The sequence below is a fragment of the Homo sapiens genome, chromosome 11, assembly GCF_000001405.40.
Source record: "Homo sapiens chromosome 11, GRCh38.p14 Primary Assembly".
NCBI classification, from domain to species: Eukaryota; Metazoa; Chordata; class Mammalia; order Primates; family Hominidae; genus Homo; species Homo sapiens.
In genome coordinates this window covers 93679959-93700242 of record NC_000011.10, presented here as the reverse complement: position 1 = coordinate 93700242, position 20284 = coordinate 93679959, and the positions used below count along the sequence as shown (strand labels likewise).

The following is a 20284-nucleotide window of genomic DNA, read 5'->3' as shown; positions in this document are numbered from 1 at the left end:
AACTGATTTGGGTTTAAACTTCTAGTGTTTCATTATTATTCAGGTTTAAAACATACCTGACTGTCTTTAAAGAAATCCTTCAAAGTCTCTTCATGTTTCTGTATCTGCTGCTGCAATGCTGTTTGTCTCTGTACAAGCAATTTTTCCTGGGCTTTCTGGCTATAATGCAGAACTTCTCTTTGTAGATCCAACTGTTTCTGAAGTCCCAAGTTATCTTGCTGAGTTAAGACAGACTGTGAAAAACTCAAAAGTCTATCTTGAAACCCTGGGATCACAGGATTACTTGGGGGGGCTGCATGTTCATTCTGGGATGAATACAATTCACAAGTGCTTTTAGGTTTAGCTTCTGCAAAAGGTAGTGGAATAAACGAATGCTCTGTTTCCTTGGGTAGAAACAAAGAGGGGATAGTATGCTCAGCAGATTCACTTTTGTTCAACTTTCTTTGTTTGTTTAAAGACAGTTCTTCCTGGGGTTTCTCATAAGAATACATCACTTCCCTTTGTGCATCCAATTGTGCTGTCATATTATCTTGCTGAGGCAGAATAGGCTTTGATAAACTCAAAAGTCTATCCTGTAATCTTGGAATCTCACGATGACTTGAGGGAAGAGTATCATTACTTTTGGTTGGGAAAGACTTCTGGGTTCTTTCAGAGTCAGCAACAGGCACCTGGGATACAAATGAAGAGGAGCAAACTTGTTCAGATGATACCCTTTTCTCCAATTCACTTAATCTTTGCAAAAGCAATTCTTCTTGGACTTCCTGTATAGATCGAATGGCTTTCTTCTGTGTATCTAACTGCTGTTGAAGTGCCTGCAAATCACCATGGTGAGACTGGATAAAATGCTCAGAAGATACCTTTTCCTCAAATTTACATGGTTTTGACAAAACCAATTCTTTCTGGGTTTTCTCAATAGAAGGAAGGAAATCTGTCTGTGCATGCAAGTGTTCTTCAAGTGCAATCAAATTATCTTGTTGAGGTAAAACAAGATGTGATAAACCCAACAGCCCATCAGGCAATGTTGGTATCTCTGAGTGACCTGAGGATACTATATTATCACTGTTAATTGAACATGGTTCTTGGTTTCTTTCAGATTCATTAAGAGGTAATGAGGCGAATGAATGCTGTGGTACTAGGGGTAAGGAAGAGGTGTCAACCTGCTCGGGAGATATTCTTCCCTCCCATTCACTCTGATGTAAAAGTAATTCTTCCCGAGCTTCTTGTCTAGCTAGAATGATGGCTTCTCTCTGTGTAGCTAACTGTTCTTGAAGTGCCTTCAAATTATCTTGTTGAGGCTGGATAAGTTGCGATATCCTCAAAAGCCTATCCTGCAATTGTGGGATCTGAAGGTGGCTTGAAAAAATTTTACTTTCACTCTCTGTAAAAAGAGGTTCCAGGATTGTGCCAGACTCAGCTGAAGCTAACGAAGTAAATGAAAGCTGTACCAACTGGGGTATGAATGAAGATGAACCAGTTTGTTCAGAAGATGTATTTTCTTGGGTTTTCTGGCTGAAATGAAAGGCTTCTTTCTCAGTGTCTAGCCATGCTTGGTGTTCCTCCAAATTATCTTGTAGAGGTAGCATATGTTGTGAAACTCTCAAAAGTCTTTCCTGACATCTTGGGATCTTAGGATGGCTTAAGGGAATGGTACTGTCACTCTTGATTGATATACATTCCTGGAATCTCTCAGATTCATCCACCTGGGAAAGGGATGAGGAGGTGCCAGTCTGTTCAGAAGAAATTCTTTTCTCCAATTCACTTTCTGTGTGTACAAATTCCTGAGTTCCTTCTTTAGCACCAAGTATTACCCTTTGTATTTGTGACTGTTCTTGGAGTATTGTCAAATTTTCTTGCTGTGCCAGGCTATGCTGTGGAAAACTAAGAGACTTATCCTGAAATGTTGGGATTATCAAATGACAGGAGGGACCTACATTCTCCTTCTCAGATAAATAAAGCTCCTGAATTCTCCTAGGCTCAGCTTTAGCAGAAGCTTGTGAAGCAACTGAATGCTGAACAACCACTGGTGAGGATGAAGAGCTCACCAGCCCAGACTTACTGTCCCCCAAATCTCTTTGTCTATGTAAAAGTAATTCCACCTGAGCTTCATGCCTAGCCTGAAGAGTATCCCTCTGTTTAGTCAACTGTTCTTGGAGCAACTTCAAACTATCATGTAGAGGTAGGAACTGCTGTAGGAAACTCAAAGACCCATCCTGAGATATGGGGATGTCAGATTGGCATGAAACAAGTCCTTTCTCGCTCTTAGATGAATGTTGCTCCTGTATTTTTCCAGATTTTGTATCAGCAGATGGTAGTGAAGTAAATGTATGCTGAGCTACCTGAAATGGGAAAGAGGGCTCAGCCTGTTCGGAACATACTCTTCTATCCAATTCACTCTGTTTATGTACATACAATACTTCCTGGGCTTCTCGCCTAGCCTGAAGGCTATCCTTCTGAATATTCAACTGCTCTTGGAGAAATTTAAAATTATTTTGCTGTGATAGGATAGGCTGTGAAAGACTCAAACGCTTATCCTGAAGTTGTGAGATCACATGATGGTCTGAGGAAACTGCAATATTATTCTTGGTTGGTGAAGATTCCTGGATTCTCCCCAAATCTGCTTTGGCAGAAGGCAATAAAGCAGATGAATCTGGAGTTACCAAGGGAAGGAATACCGAGAGGCCCGTTTGCTGTTCCACTTCTTTCTGTTTGCACAAAAGCAACTGTTCCTGAGCTTCCTGAGTTGCCTGAAGAACTTTCTTCTGTAGGTCTAACTGTTCTTGGAGGGCCTTCATATTACCTTGCTGGGCTGTGATATTCTCTGACGGCAGCAAAGGCCTATCATGCATTTGGCTGATTATAGAATGGCTTGTGGAAACTGTACTTTTGCTCATGGCTGAAAAGGGTTCTTGAATTTTTCCTGACTCAACTTTAACAGGCAGAGAACTAAAAGAATGCTGAGGTACCAGTGGTACAAATGAAGAAGGTTCAGTTAAATGGTAAGATATATTTTCACTATTCTCTGAGAACAATTGTTGGGATTCTAAACTTTGAAAAGTTGTTGCCCCAAATGTTTCAGATATTTTTCTAGCATCCTGTGATATTAGCTGCCTGTCATGTGACAAAGCCCTTGAAAGTGTCTCAGAATCTTTGGGGACCAATTTATAGTCTCTCTGTTGTGTTTCAGTCTGAGAGAATTGCCTTAGATGTTCTTGTGATTCTAAAGCTTGATTGGTTAAAATATCTGAAGCGCGTAATGTTTCTGTTGTTTCCACCTGTCTTTGTGGAAAGTGATTTTGTCTCGCTACCTGAAAATGATCTTGTTCTAATTTGGAGGTCTGTATAGGTTGTATGGGTTGGTATTTGTTAGGACTCAACTTGAGTCTCTGACCTTGATCCCAATGCTCTGATATAGCAGTCGGTCTCTCAGATTTCCATGATGGCACTGATATAACAGAATCAGTTATCAATGATGGAGCTGACACCGATGGGCACCTTCCTTTTAACATAGTTTGATATTCAAGTAATTGTTTCCTGGCTGTTTCAACAGACTGCCTGTGTAACCTACCAAAAACAAAAGCAAACAATTATTGTTTTTTAATGAAAAATAAAAAGCCCCATGTCTATACATTAAATTTAACAAACAGCAATCTAGGGTTGGCAATACTCATGGTGAAAAGAAATTACACTCACATTGTCCTTTAAGAATGGCAGTTCTAAATGCCATAATTCTAAGGAAATCCAAATTAGATCCTCATATAAATGAAACAATAAATCCTAAAAATGTAGCCACATACGATCACATATAAATTATACCCTAGCTAATACCTGTTTTGTTGTAAAAGCTGATGTTGATAGTTACGAATCATCTGCCTATGACTATCTTCATCAGAAATTACAGGGCATGATGCTGGAGCAATGCCAACCTAATAAAAGACAAAGTTACTAATTAAAAAGCAAATTTAGAAGTAAGTATTGAAGTATTTTTACATACAGTTCTATAATTGTAAACTTCCATACAGCTTTATTTTTTATAAAATGACTGGCATTTCCATTAGTAAGAAATGAACTAATCTGTCATTCTCCTTCAGTGCAGGTCCAAAAGCTCAACATACGCATTACCTACAAACCATGGTCGTATCTATTAGTATCCTATAGAAACTGAAAGATGAAAGCCGTAACTGATGCAAATTTATTCATATATACATACATTATATCAAAAAAAGACCAAATAAGAATTACAAAGGCATTTTACTTTTATTATTATTATTTTTTTGAGATGGAATCTCACTCTGCAACCTCCACCTCCCAGGTTCAAGCGATTCTCCTGCCTCAACCTCTGGAGTAGCTGGGATTACAGGCACGTGCCACCATGCCCAGCTAATTTTTGTATTTTTAGTAGAGATGGGGTTTCACCACATTGGCCAGGCTGGTCTCGAACTCCTGACCTGAAGTGATCTGCCTGTCTCGGCCACCCAAAGTGCTGAGATTACAGGCATGAGCCACCGCGCCCAGCCATCCATTTTACTTTTCTAAACGCTACAAGTGCTCATATTTTCTTGCCCCCCTTACCAAATGATTTATGTAGTGATGAGATTTTCTGCATCCTACCCCAGTCGGTTGAGTTTTTTTTCTTTTTTCTTCTTCCAGCTGAGCCCTGAAGCAGTCAGTTTCTAATCTTAATTTCTGCTGTTCAATTTGTTCAAGTAATTCCAATTGCTTTTGCTTCTGCTCTTCTATTTCCATTATCTAGGTAACAAAATACTATTGATCTATTAACAACAAACTCATACAAAGGCAAAGATAACACACGTTCCATTTAAAAGAAATTAGGTTTCTTCACCAAGGGTACCAATTTTCAAAGAAGTAAGTGTTGATGCTTTATCTCTGTTGTTATCACTGACAGACTGAGGATGGGAGTAAAAGATGGGAAATGGGAAAAAGAGAAAAAGGGATAGAAGTAAAAAAAGGCAGAAGGAAAAGAAAGAATAAATACATTAACTATTTCTACTTTCTGAGAGCACAGTGAAACCCTGATCACCACTGAAGAACTACCTTGAAGTAGCAAATGATGTACAGCCAAATTCTATGTTCACACATTTAATAGTATAAATAATGACTAAAGAAATTAAATATCAAGGCCTCCTAAAATACTTTGACTTCTTAACCATGCTCATTAAGAGGGATAGTTATCTAGAAGCAATGAACAACATTCTGTGTCTTTTTTGTCAGGCATGGAACAGAAGAAAATGGCAGAAAGATAACACATAAACTCTAATACTATACAAGCACACTCACACTCTAAGTAATATGAACATGTTTGAGTAACTATGAGTTTCATGAGGACAAAACTAGCCTGCCAAATCCAGCACCTTAGTCCCCTCCTATCTGCAATTTAGCTTTTGTGGTTTAATTACTCAGGGTCAACAGCAGCCAGAAAATCTTAAATAGAAAATTCCAGAAATAATTCATAAGTTTTAAATTATGCACTATTCTAAGTAGTGTGATGAAATCTTGCACTGTCCTACTCTGTACTGCTGAAAACATCAATAATCTCTTTGTCCAGCATATCCATGCTGTAAACTGGACCAGGCCATTTGTTACTTAGTAGCCATCTTGGTTACAAAAACTTGCCTGTTGCAGCATCACAGTGCTTGTGTTCAAATAACCCTTATTTTACTTCACAGTGGCTCCACAGCATAAGAGTAGTAATGCTGGCAATTTTGATATGTCAAAGAGAGGCTGTAAAGTGCTTCCTTTTAGTGAAAAGCTGAAAGTTCTCAATAAGGAAAGAAAAAAAATTATACGCTGATTGCTAAGATCTATGGTAAAAGTAAATCTTCTATCAGTGGAATTATAAAGAAGGAAAAATAAATTCACCCATAGTATATACAGGAATCAATATTATCCACAGTTTGGTACTATTAAGCATCCACTAGGGGTCCTGGAACATATACACTGTGGATAAGCAGGGACTACTCTACAGTCCCTGATAAACAGACAAGTATTTACTGAATAAGTAAAAAAAGGAATGCACGTTGTTTTCTTATATAAAGAGCAGCACTTCTACTAGAGATAATGAACAATGATCTTGTTTTCAAAATAAAAAATGTTTTGACCTGATTCTTTACCTATTCCTAGTTAGGCAACAGTGGCTTCAACTGAGTTCCCAGACAGTTCCTCTTCCTTACTTTCCCTTACTCATAGGAGCCCCTGAATTTAGACTGTTTACAGTTCTGTAGTACATCTACAACTGTACTGTCCATAGAGTGGTTACTAGCTTTATGTGACTACTTAAATTTAATTAAAATTAAATAAAACTTAAAATTTAGTTCCTCAGTTACACTATTTTATTCAACAGCCCATGTGGCTAACAGGTACATACTGTACATAGATATAAAACATTTCCATCATCACAGAAAGTGCTACTGAACAATACTGTTCTAGACTATTGATGAGAAATTTTTCTTTTTTTCTTTTTTTCTTTTTTTTTGAGATAGTTTCGCTCTTGTCGCCCAGGCGAATGCAGTGGCACAATCTTGGCTGACTGCAACCTCCACCTCTTGGGTTCAAGCGATTCTCCTGTCTCAGCCTTCTGAGTAGCTGGAATTGTGGGTGCGTACCACCACGCCCAGATACTTTTTGTATTTTTAGTAGAGATGGGATTTCACCATGTTGGCCAGGCTGGTCTCAAACTCCTGACCTCAGGTGATCCGCCCGCCTAAGCCTCCCAAAGTACTGGGATGACAGATATGAGCCACTGCACCTGGCCTGAGAAAGTATTTATCTGAGAAGAAATACTGGCTCACGGAATTATTCCCCAGCTGTATTTTTGAAAAAACTAACTAGGACTATAAACTGGCCTGCTTAGTAATAATTAGCCTCCTTCGAGGTAAGTTGGGTTAAAAAAATATTTTATTAAAAGTAGATGAGACCAAAGTCATAAGTTAAGGAGGATTTTTTTTTTTTGAGACAGAGTCTGGCTCTGTCGCCCAGGCTGGAGTGCAGTGGCGCAATCTCGGCTCACTGCAAGCTCTGTCTCCCGGGTTCACACCATTCTCCTGCCTCAGCCTCCTGAGTAGCTGGGACTACAGGCGCCCGCCACCATGCCCAGCTAATTTTTTGTATTTTTAGTAGAGACGGGGTTTCACCGTGTTAGCCAGGATGGTCTCTATCTCCTGACCTCGTGATCCACCCGCCTCAGCCTCCCAAAGTGCTGGGATTACAGGCGTGAGCCACCGGGCCCGGCCTTTTGTTTTTTTTTTTTTTTTTTGAGATAGAGTCTCACTCTGTCATCCAGGCTGGAGTGCAGTGGTGTGATCTTGACTCATTGCAGCCTCCGCCTCCTGGGTTCAAGCAATCCTCCCACCTTAGCATCCTGGGTAGGTGGGACTACAGATTTGTGTCACCACACCCAGCTGATTTTTGTATTTTTAGTAGAGACAGGGTTTCACCAGGTTGGCCAGGTGGGTCTCAAACTCCTGGGCTCAAGTGATCTGCCCACCTCAGCCTCCCAAAGTGCTGGGATTTCAGGCATGAGTCACTATGCCCAGCCTAAAGAAGTTAAAGTTTAGCTTGGGCAACATAGCAAGACGTCATCTCTACTAGGAAAAAAAAAAAATTAGCTGGGCATGGTGGCCTATACCTGTAGTCCTAGCTACTCAGGAAGCTGAGGTCAGAGGATTGAACTGAGGAGGTCAAGGCTGCAGTGAGCGATGATCGTGTCACTGTACTCCAGCCTGGGCGACGGAGCAAAAAAAGGGCGCTGTATATTAAAAGTTTTTCCTCTGAAGTATTATTTTTCAAAAAACTTGTGGGATTACAAAGCCCATCTGAGTGTCTAATATTATGACAAGGACTTGTTAATTCAACAATTATTTATTGTATACTTGCTATGTACAAAGCATTGTATCAGAAACTGTGTAGGATAAATTGAATTTTTTAAAGAAGATAGTCTCTGCTTTTTAAAAGCTAATAAATTTTATAGGGAAGATCTATACAAATATATAAAATATAAAGCAGACACAATAAGGGTTGAATGAGCAGTATGGGCAAAGACAACACGCATTTTATCAGCTGAATGTTTGTGTAAGACAATGTCAAAAACATGATATCAAAATTAGCCAGACATTAAGACAAATTTCATTGGCCAAACAAAATTATATAATAGTACCTAGGGGAAAAATAAACCTTTAAAAATAAAATTTCAAATTACCTGTTTCTGCCTTGCTGACATTCTAATCCTGGCTGCTGCTTCTTGAGGATGAAGTAGAACTGAACTCTGAGCTACAGTTGTGATAGGCAGAGTCTCATTTATTTCTAGGGGAATGCCCCAAACAAAAATTAGTTTCAATAATTTAGAATTTTGACACCACTATAATGCCCTTTCTTAATATATCACATGTAATTTTATTTAAAAAAAAGATGCAAGGAGTCAAATTTAATTTGAGGATGTGATAAAAAGAAATACCTTGTTCTTTTCCAGAGTTTGTACCACACGAAAGTGGTTTATCTTCACTAGCAAGTGGTCCAGACTCAATTGTTAGTGTATCACTTTCAACAACTGTAATAGATAATACCACTGTTATTTTGAATATATAATCATTGTCAAACTTAAAGCAAAATAACAAAATTCTGGTATTAACACATTCAATCTAGGGCCATCTGAATGTCTCATCTAGTTAAGATCCAGTAACCTTCCTGATGATCAGATATATTTCTCATTAAACCCAAGCCTAATAATAACAACAGAGATGAAAGACTGAAATTGTGAAAACGTGAAGAACTGATTTAATAGATACGCTGATAGGATTTCAAACATAGGAGAAAGGCATAAAAAGAGCGGAAACAACAAGGTATCAAAGTTAAAAAGGAGAAGCTAACAAAATGTCAATGTATCTTTGATATATTTGGATACTAGGTTTTTAAAAAATAATTTGTGAAACCAGAGCAGAGAAGGAAGTTAAAGCAATTTGTTCTGATCATATTTGGGTAGCCAGATAGTCTGCATGGAGCTATCCGTTCATTCACTCATTAATTCATTTGGTACCTACTTATGTGGCAGATGCTGGGGATACCACAGTAAATGAGAAAATGCCTCAAGGAGGCTTTACAGAGTAGGTGGCAGAACCATCTTATAATTATCCCAGAAAAAAATTATAAAATTAGAAATTGTAATAAGTACTATATAAGAAAAGTGAAGGGTTATACAATAGAGTATAATAAATCTGGGCAAGATGAAATTTCTCTGAGGAAACGACATTTAAGCAGACACTTGAAAGGTAAGGAAGAACCAGCCAGGTAAACAACATGAAGATGTATAGGAGACCTTTCCAGACAGACCAATGGGTATAAAAGGCCCCGTGAGGATAAAGAAACAAACCTTGGCCCATTCAAGAAACTGAGAGATCAGTGTGCATGGTTTTAGTCAGGCAAGGGGGAGAATAAAGCAAGATGAGAATGGTGAAAGCCTGCTCATATTGGCCCTTTATCTTTTTTTTTTTTTTTTTTTTTTTTGAGACGGAGTCTCATTTTGTCGCCCAGGCTGGAATGCAGTGGTGCGATCTCAGCTCACTGCAAGCTCTGCCTCTGGTTTACACCATTCTCCTGCCTCATGCTCCCGAGTAGCTGGGACTACAGGTGCCCGCCACCACGCCTGGCTCACTTTTTTTTTTTTTTTTTTTTTGTGAGACAGAGTCTCGCTCTGTCACCCAGGCTGGAATGCAGTGGCCCGATCTCGGCTCACTGCAAGCTCCACCTCCCAGGTTCACGCCATTCTCCTGCCTCAGCCTCCCAAGTAGCTGGGACTACAGGCACCCACAACCACCATGCCCAGCTACTTTTTAGTATTTTTAGTAGAGACAGGGTTTCACCATGTTAGCCAGGATGGTCTCAATCTCCTGACCTCGTGATCTGCCTGCCCCGGCCTCCCAAAGTGTTGGGATTAGAGGCATGAGCCACCGCACCCAGCCCATGCACGGCTAATCTTTTGTATTTTTAGTGGAGACGGGGTTTCACCGTGTTAGCCAGGATGGTCTCGACCTCCTGACCTCGTCATCTGCCCGCCTGGGCCTCCCAAAGTGCTGGGATTACAGGTGTGAGCCACTGCGCCCAGCCAGGCCCTTTATCAAAAGAACTTGGTCACGGATTGACTATGAGAGTTCCCTTTTTTGGACTTCAACACCATATTCTCCCTTACTTCTCTGGCCACTCCTTTTACTGACTTTGCTATCTGCCCTTTCTCTAGCCATCTTCTAGATGTTGGAATCCCTCAGATGGTCTTACAAGCCCTCTTTTCACTAAATTATTTCCCCTCCAAGTGGTTTTCTATGCCCATGGCTTTAAATATCATATATATGTCTAGATTCCAAATTTACCTCTCTTGCTTTAAATTATTCAATTAATTCAACGAATGTTAACTGAGCACCTGTTTTGTACAAGGCAGTAGTCTAGACTCTGGGGACATAGCAATGTACAAAATCAAAGCTCCTGTCCTTATGGATGGGTGGGGTAGGCATTAAGATAATAAGCAAAATAAGCACCAGTCACTTTACTGGGCCCATCAGATATTGATAAGAGCTATGGGGGGAAAGCAGGGTAAAGGGGATAGGAAGTAAAAGGTGTGGAGGTTGGGGTAGAGGTGGGGAGTGGTAGAAGTGTGCCATTTTATATAGTCAGAAAAGGCCTTACTGAGAAAGGGATAGTTGAGTAAACATGTGAAGGAAGTGAGGGAGTGAGTCAAGGAAATACCCAAGAAAAAGAGAAGTCTAGTCAAAAAGATTAGCAATTGCTAAGACCACGAGTCCTATGTTTGCTGTCTGAGAAACAGCGAGCAAGCTGGCATCTACAGTGCAGAAGATGGGTAGGGAGGTGTGGCAGGCAAATGAAGTCAGAGAGGTAGTGAGTATGGGAGTAGTGGTGGTGGGGGTGTATGTGTGCAGGTCACATAAGGCTTTGAAACCACTATAAACTCTCTGGTTTTTACTGAGTGAAACTGACAGTTACTGGAGGGCTTCATCCAAAGAAATGACATGAGATTACTTGTTTTTAAGAGGACCACTATGTTAATAGACAATAACAGGGAGGTGCAAAGGCTGATGATAGCAGGCTACTACAAGAATCTACCCTAGGAAATGAACATGGCTTAAGCTAGGATGTAGGTGGAAAGAAATGGTTGGACTATGGATATATTTTGAGGGTAGGACCAACTGGATCAGCTAATAGTTTGGACATAAGATACATAAGATATGAAAAGAGGGAACCAGAATGACTATAAGCTTTTTGGCTTGAGCAAGGGAATTAACATATTGCCAGATACTGAAATGTGGAATACTGTAGGAAAAGCAGGTATGTGGTGGGAGGGGATATCAACAGGTCACTTCTGAAGAAATTTAAGATATTATTAGATATACAAGAGAAGGAAACAGTTAAATAAGTAAGGTGAGTTCAAACAGGAGGCCAAAAATAGAAATGCATACTTGGGAGACATCAGTTTACAGATGATAATGTAAAGTGTGACATTTGAGATCAACTAGGGAGTTTTGATATAAAGAGAAGGGACTTGCGGAATGAGCTGTAGACTAACCAACGACTAACAATGGTTAGTCATTATGGAGATGTGGATAAACAGCGAAGAAAATGCAAGAGAAAATAGTAAAGTACGAAAACCAAGTGAAGGTGCTGTCAAGGGGCCAAGGGAAGAAAATACTTCAAGAAGGCTTCCTGTGGGACTCAGGATAAAATCCAAAACCCAAATATAGACCACAAGTCACTCTTATCAAAAGCATAGAAGCAAAACATTTCTATACAAATCCAATCACATTTTTAAAATCATCCCAATCAAGGAGATACTTGAATTGTGTGTGAAAAGATACTTTGTAACTTCTGGAAATATAGTTAATAGCCTATTTTTCCAATCAGAAAAGTATTTAAAATTAGCAAATAAGAAACTAAATACCTAGTGGGAATACAACACGCTCAAAAGCCATTAACATGCTCATATATCCTTTGATCAGGAGTTATTCTTTAAAGAGTCCTTCCTAAGGAAATAAAGATGTGGGCAAAGACTTCACTAAAAGGATGCCCACTGTAGCACAAAAATGCCAAGAAAAATTAGAAAACAGCCTGAACATCTCAATAAGGAACTGGTTAATTTTGATTCATTGATTACTTTGCAATTAATATATATAAATAACTATACTAGATTAAAAGTGGTCCGGAAGAAGATTCACTAAGGCTTTTATAATGTTTCTTTGTTGCTTTTAATTAGCAGGATTATGTTTTGTTCCTTTTAACCTCTATTCTTTGATTTTTCAGAAACGAACCTACTTTTGAACAACTTAAAAGGGTTTATAGAAAATGAGACTCTTGGAGAGAAATACCTTGTTCCTGCCCAGAGGATAACGTTCTCTCTTTGCTGGCAATTGTTCCTGACTCAACCGTTGGTGCTTTACTCTCAATTTCACTAACAGTCGTAATCATTTCACTTTCATCCTCAGACATAGATTTAATTGTCCAGAGAGATTTTTGGCTTCGGATCTTATTTAATAATTTTTTAAAAAGAACTTTTGAAGGAATCTGTTGGGTCTTCATTACCAAGGGAACTAAAAGAAAGAAAAAGGGAAAAAACTTATTTAGCATCTATTGTATTACCAGGCAAATTGTTCCATCTTATATTCGGTTACTGCTATAACCACTAGTTAAAAGCACAGTTTTATTTTCCTCATATTTACGATTTAACAGTATATACAACAATGCTATCTGACTCCAATCATTATAACTAGAAATAATTTTTTCAACTGAAAATAGTAAAAGTGCCAAAATTCAAGTATTTTCCAAAAACATGTATGCAACACAAATATCAAGCCTAAAAAACTTATCAGGAAGATGTTTATTTTGCTTGCTAAATGATAAATGAATGTGTAACTTCTAATTAATTTGCTGGTAAGATTAGTATTGAAAATATATGCTGTGAGGTTCTATAGTCTACACTAGAGAATGGTCCCAAATATGGCTCTGTATTTCTTAGTGAGCTACAGAGGAAAACATCATAGCCATAAAAGCAAATCAACTGCTCCCAAATTATTCTTGGCACTATCTGGGAAAAATGTCTCCCACCCATCTTCACACAGAGATCCCTTCAGTTAAAAACAAAAACAAAAAAACAACACAAGTATTTCTTCAAACATTTTCCCATGTGGGCTGATAGTTTAATGCCAAAACTCAGTATAATACGAACAGTTCTCTAAGAGGACAAAAGTGTGATGCAAGTACATATTTCTCTGGCTTAGTCAAGGAATAAAATTTAAGAATATCTTTAAGAGGTTGAAAATAGGCAGATTGTAGTTTTGTCTAACTTATATTAAAAAAAATTCCAATTGAGTTATAATTCACAAAGAACAAGGTGCACAAAAACCTAAGTGTATAGCTTACTGAATTTCACATATGTCAATGTACCACCTTTCAGATCATGTGGAACATTACCAGGACTAAGGTTCCTTCATGTCCCTTCCCAGTCAATACACCCCTAAAAACAGCCCCTACTTTAACCCCAAGATCACAGATTAGTTTTGCCTGTTTTTTTAAAACCTTCATATAAACATGGAATCACACATTTAGGTATTATTTTCTGCCTGGCTTCTTTCATTTACCATTAGTCCACAACCCACTCATTTTTAAGAAGTAAATTCATTGCCAATATTTAAAAGTAAGGATTTTTAAAAACAATGAGATTTCTAGCTTCAAACAAACAAACAAACAACTTGGCAACACCAAGCCAATAAGACCAAATGAGATCAGCAGGAGCTAAAGTGTAACTGTCCCTTTAGATTGGGCAAGACTTCCATTGTGACAAACTAGATATTGATACTCCCAATGAAAATAACTGAAAAAGCTGCATGAAAGAGTAAAAATATCTTTTTTTTTTTTAAGATGGAGTTTCACTCTTGTTGCCCAGGCTGGAGTGCAGTGGTGTGGTTTCGGCTCACTGCAGCCTTTGTCTCCCAGGTTCAAGCGATTATCCTGCCTCAGCCTCCCATGTAGCTGGGATTACAGGTGAGCGCCACTACACCCGGCTAATTTTTGTATTTTTGGTAGAGACAGGGTTTCACCATGTTGGCCAGGGTGGTCTTGAATTCCTGAACTCAAATGATCCTCCCACCTTGGCCTCCCAAAGTGCTGGGATTACAGGCATGAGTCACCGCACCTGGCTGTAAGAATATCTTTTTAAAGACACTGCTGGCCGGGCATGGTGGCTCATGCCTGTAATCCCAGCACTTTGGGAGGCAGAGGTGGGCGGGTCACAAGGTCAGGAGTTCGAGACCAGCCTGGCCAACATAGTGAAACCCCGTCTCTGCTAAAAATACAAAAATTAGCCAGGCATGGTGGTGTGTGGCTGTAGTCCCAGCTACTTGGGAGGCTGAGACAGGAGAATCACTTGAACCCGGGAGGTGGAGGTTGTGGTGAGCCAAGATCGTGCCACTGCACTCCAGCCTGGGCAACAGAGCAAGACTCCATCTCAAAACAAACAAACAAACAAACAAACAAAGACACAGCTGACCTGGCATGAAAAGAAAAGGTTCTGCAGAGGACAGAAATGAAATTTAAGTGGAAAGCTTGGAGGGAAGGCAAGTCAGCCCTGAAACCATCTTCTGCTAAGCTTATGCCAAAGTCAAAACACAGTAACCTTAAGCTGCTGCTGCTTTTTTTTCCCCAGTTGCTGGTAGTAACCTTAGGCTTCCGTTTGGACAACAATGTAGGCATAGGAGACATGAATAAGGCCTAGAGCCCTCACTTGAGGAGTCTAATAGGAGGCCTACATAAAGTTGGAATCCCAAAAGGCTACGTTCACGGTGTAGGGTGAAGATGATAAGAAAGCCTGGGTGGTTTTAAACAAAGGAAATACCAGTAGATATGGGAGGCCTACATAATAGGAGGCCTACATAAAGTTGGAATCCCAAAAGGCTATGTTCACAGTGTAGGGTGAAGACGATAAGAAAGCCTCAGTGGTTTTAAACAAAGGAAATACCAGTAGATACGGGGCAAAAATAGCTGAATTCCATGAAGAGGACTTGGTCTTTAAGGAGACATGCAGGTAAAAGGAAAGTATTAAAGGTAACTCCCAGTGGTCTGGCTTGGGTAACTGCAGACTGTGATACCATTCACTAAGATAGAAAAGACAGGTAGAGACAGTTTTAGTAGGCAAGAGAAGATCATAAATTTATTGCTAGACATGCAGTTTTAACTATGGGACAGCCAAGTAAAAAAGTTCAGAATGTTGGAGATAGAGATGTTTGAGAGATCAAAATTTGTGCTATCCATCATTACACACGAAGTACCTAGAAATAACTGAATACCAGTAGGATCTCTGATGATCTGACAAGTCTATGCTGATCTTTGTCGTGCTGAACCTCTACTCACTCAAATGGGGATGGCACCAGGTTCAAGATGCCAAATAAGAGATCCAGAGCTAGCCAATGAGATTTGGGGTTTCACTGAGGGCATACACATAAGGGAGAGTCCAGTGGCAGCAGGCTGGACAGAAGAACTGCAACCGCTTGCAAAAAGCATGCAGTTTAAATAGTACTGTCACTTAGTACCCTTTTCCTAACGATCTCCACCTGACAACTTTCATTCAACCCAAAACTTGACACCTTGATCCTCTGTATGGCTCATGTTCCACGGGATGGGACAGGGGCTCAGATGTTCCTCATAGACAAGAAATGAACCTCCAGGTTGGCTACTCCCAGATTCCCTAGCTCAGAACACACATTCAGGTGTGTATGCCACACAGGGTCATTCTCAGGGTATGCTTAAGTTATTGCTATCAGATATGTTTACCATGCAACCTTTCTAATGAATTCAGAATTGAGCACCCAACTCAAATAACCTGAAAATCTTCAGATCATCTGTACGTCTGAATAAACTTTCCTCCTACACATATGAAAAAGGATCGTCAATGATGGAAATATAAAAACGTTGTATCCTTTAGCTACTGCTCCCATCAGTATTACTCATTGCTTGCACTTATATCAGACCAGATTTTCCTAACTGCTGGCTAATGGTTAGCATTTTTTTTTTCTGTGAAATACTGTAATATTTAGCTCAGAAGGGTTTTTACCATCTGTTTCACTAGAACATATTTCAGCTTCTGTCACTGGAAGGTCTTCAGCTGCACCCAAATTTTCTTGTTCCATTGAAAGGTCCAGCTCTTCATCTTGGATCTGATTAGTCACAGTGGGCAAGGGCTCTGGTTCAAGGTGCAGAATCAGATTCCCTTTCACCTCTTAAAAAAGAAAAATAGAGACACGTTTCCATTCCAAAATGATTAAAAATAACTGGATCACAAAAATGCAAAGGCCACGGTAATGTCTCAATCTAAAATATGGGGGGCCTCCTTCAAACAGAGAACTCATTTCAAGATAAAAACTGCTTTATCATTACAAACATATTTTCCCACCAAAACGTATAAAATCACTATTGAAAGCCCTACTGAAAATATCTTACTCCTGTCTGCATTGTACATATCTTCAAAGGCAAATTCCAATTCTCTCTGCCAGTCTTCTTTCATTTCACTGCGTTTGTATGGAAGTTCAACTAGTTGTGGTGGCATTTGTGCTACAGTCTGTCTCCTACGTGCCAGGTCCTCTTGCTGTAGCTGTTTGAGTTCTTTCATTAGTTTCTCCTGATTCTTCAAGAATAAAGAGAATTAACAAAAACTGAGTCACAAACTTTGTATGGTAATATTAACAATGTTGCAGGTAGGGGAAATGAGGATCAGGGTCTAAGCTTCTCTCCTCTCCTCTATTATTTGTTCAGCCAAAAGACAGACATTTATTCATTCAACAATTATTTGCTGAATACCAGATACCACATTAAGTGCTAGGGACACAATCTCAACCCTACCCTAGTAGTAAGACCAACAAATAAGTAGTGTTATGTTAGTAAGTACAATGAAAGAGTGGTACTGGTTAGGCCATAAAGCTGCAAAAAGTGTCTGCCAGCTACAGTTTTCCTTTCTGAGGAAAGTCATGAAGTTAATGTCTATATAAGTTGCCATGGCTCCTGTGATGTACTTTGTTCCAGTTCTCCATATACCTATCTCAGGTAAGCACCAAGACCCAGGGTGACTGTGGCTTAACATAGAATATTTCTTGTTACCTCACACTCTTATGAATTTCCATTATTAAAGGAGATCTGAATGTATTTCTTTAAGCTTAAAGAGTATGGCTAATATGAAAGTTTAATCAGTGTTTTAATGAGGTTATCTAATGGAATTTTGGTGGTAGAAGGTAAGGAGGGAGAACAAGGCAAGACTTCTTGTTCCTTGGGATGGGATAAGGATTTAGCCAGACAAAAGTGGCTGAAAGAGAATGAGTACATGTAAGAAAAAAACTGCAGCACAACAGTATGGAGATGAAGGCACGGGATATTCAGAAAATAGCACACTGTTCATTATAGCTAGGGCATGGAGGGCAAGGATGATTAGGGAAGGAAGATAAAACTGGAGAAGCAGGTAGAAGTCAAATATTAGTTAATATAGACACTAGAAGGAAATAAGGTCCCAGGCCACAATACAGTATGCAGCAAAAAGGTTCAGACAGGAAAAATGAAATCCTCTATTAGCAGTGAGATTGCACGGTTTTTTTTTTTAACAACCTTCTTATATAAGGAACATTAAGTCTACTATAACGTAGAGAAATCCTGCATTAAAAAAATGGTAATGGGCCAGGCACAGTGGCTCACACCTGTAATCCCAGCACTTTGGGAGGCCAAGGCAGGCAGATCACCTGAGGTCAGGAGTTCGAGGCCAGCCTGGCCAATATGGCGAAATCCCGTCTCTACTAAAAATACAAAGAGTAGCAGGGCGTGACGGCATGCGCCTGAAATGCCAGCTACTCGGGAGGCTGGGGCGGGAGAATTGCTTGAACCCAGGAGGCAGAGGTTGCAGTGAGCCAAGATCACGCCACTGAACTCTACCCTGGGCAACAGAGTGAGACACTGTCTCAAAAAATAAAAAATAAATAAAAATAAATTAAAAAGTGATAACATATATACATTACTTATTCTTTTGTAAAGTTTTAACTATTTTGTCTTTTGAGGATGAATTTTTTTTGCCATGTCCTGAAAAGGAAAATTATAAATGAACTTATTTCATTTATACTAAGATTCTAATTATCTAAAGTTGTTTGAGTAAGTGTACTATTCTAGCTCACTGCAAGCTAGTATATTATTCCTTTTGGATTATTTATAACAATGACCACTACCACTAACATTTACTGAGCTTATGAAATTCCAGGCACATTTCCAAGGGCTTTGGAAAACTCATTGAATCCTCACAAAACAGATGATCAGGAGAGGTGTGGCAGGGGAGGTTAAAAAAAAAAAACAAAAACAAAAAACAGCCAGGCTTGGTGGCCCACACCTGTAATCCCAGCACTTTGGGAGGTCGAGGCAGGCAGATTGTTTGAGGTCAGGAGTTCCAGCCTGGCCAACATGGTGAAACCCCGTCTCTACTAAAAATACAAAAAACTTGGGCTGGGCATGGTGGCTCACGCCTGTAATCCCAGCAATTTGGGAGGCTGAGGCAGGCGGATCATGAGGTCAGGAGATCGAGACTATCCTGGCTAACGTGGTGAAACCCTGTCTCTACTAAAAATATAAAAATTAGCCAAGCGTGGTGGTATGTGCCTGTAGTCCCAGCTACTTGGGAGGCCAAGGCAGGAGAGTCATTTGAACCCAGGAGGTGGAGGTTGCAGTGAGCCAAGATCACGCCATTGCACTCCCGCCTGAGTGATAGAGCAAGACTCTGTCACAAAAAAAAAAAAAAAAAAAAAAAAAAAAAATTAGCTGGGTGTGGTGACGCGAGCCTGTAGTCCCAGCTACTTAGGAGGCTGAGGCAGGAGAATTGCTAGAATCCGGGAGGTGAAGGTTGCAGTGAGCCAAGATCCCAGCACTGCACTCCAGCCTGGGCGACAGAGTGAGACTCCGTCTCAAAAAAAAAAAAAAAAACAACACATGAAACAGAACTTAGAGAGGTTAACTAATCTGCCTGAGATCAAACAGCTGAGTGGTGAAGAAGACAGATAAATCCTGGCAGAATGACTGTGAAGCCCACTTGCTTAACTACTAAACATTACTGCTTTTATGGAAGAATCTGTTCAATTTATGACTGCTTTTTGTGTCTGTTTTACTATAGGTTTAAACCTTAGATGGGGAGAATTACTGATAATAATTCAGACATTCAGTTATTTTAGTCATAATTCACTCCTAGTTTATGAAAGCTAAAAATTTAAGGGAGAAGCTCATGATTTAGTTCAAACTATAAAAATAACCTTTCATAAGAAAATTTAATTTCCAATGCATTTTTAAGAAGTACTTAAAAACTCATTCCTAAGATGGGTATTTAAAAAATCCAAATGCATTAGTCAAATTCAGAAAATAAAATCAGACTTCTAATAAGATGAATCATTTTTATGCTATATTTTAAGACTAAGCACTAAATGAACAATAAGCATGACAGAAGTTAAGCTAAAACTATAAAGCCAGCTTTCATTACAATATTTTACATATTGATGACAGTCACTATTTATTGATTGATTGACAGAATCTCACTCTGTCACCAGGGTGGAGTGCAATAGTGCAATCTCGGCTCATGACAGCTTCTGCCTGCCAGGCTCAAGCAATCCTCCTACCTCAGCCTTCTCGGGAAATGAGGTCCCAGGCCACAACACAGTCCCAAACTGGGACTGACTGTATTGACTCTGTAGTCCCAGGCCACCACGCCTGGCTAATTTTTGGAATTTTGGTAAAGACAGGGTTTCACCATGTTGCCCAGCCTGGTCTTGAACTCTTGGGCTCAAGCCATCTGCTCACTTTGGCCTCCCAAAGTGTTGGGATGACAGGCCTGAGACAGGCCTGAGCTACCTCGACTGGACTTGACAGTCACTTTTTATTTAATTTTTTTTGAGACAGGGTCTCGCTCTGTGGCCCAGGCTGGCGTGCAGTGGTATGGTGTGATTTCAGCTCAACGCAACCTCCTTGTCCCGGGCTCAGGTGATCCTCCCACCTTGGCCTCCTGAGTAGCTGGGACTACAGCCGCACACCACCATGCCTGGCTAATTTTTCTGTTTTAAGTAGAGACGTGGTTTCTCCATGTTTTCCAAGCTGGTCTTAAACTCCCGGGCCTATGCGATCTGCTCGCCTTGGCCTCCCAGAGTGCTGGGATTACAGGCATGAGCCACCATGCCTGGCCTATTGACTGTCACTTTTTAAAAGCTCCGGTAGCAAG

At 39.8% G+C, this 20284-nt stretch overlaps 1 protein-coding gene across 21 annotated transcripts in view; it reads right to left on the bottom strand.

Moving 5' to 3' along the window:
- Positions 1-20284, bottom strand: part of CEP295 (centrosomal protein 295) — a 68677-nt gene that overhangs the window by 30116 nt on the left and 18277 nt on the right. For 12 of the 21 annotated variants that reach the window (XM_011543047.2, XM_005274366.2, XM_017018470.2 and 9 more), the window contains 8 exons: positions 16501-16684; positions 16115-16279; positions 12378-12599; positions 8468-8560; positions 8213-8316; positions 4570-4746; positions 3826-3923; positions 57-3561 (listed from right to left, as the gene is read on the bottom strand). In XM_011543047.2, coding sequence (XP_011541349.1) covers positions 57-3561; positions 3826-3923; positions 4570-4746; positions 8213-8316; positions 8468-8560; positions 12378-12599; positions 16115-16279; positions 16501-16684 — 4548 coding nt within the window. Of the gene's footprint in view, positions 1-56; positions 3562-3825; positions 3924-4569; positions 4762-8212; positions 8317-8467; positions 8561-12377; positions 12600-16114; positions 16280-16500; positions 16685-20284 lie in introns of those variants that run through there. The other 9 variants (XM_011543048.2, XM_047427788.1, NM_033395.2 and 6 more) reach the window with 3 other exon arrangements.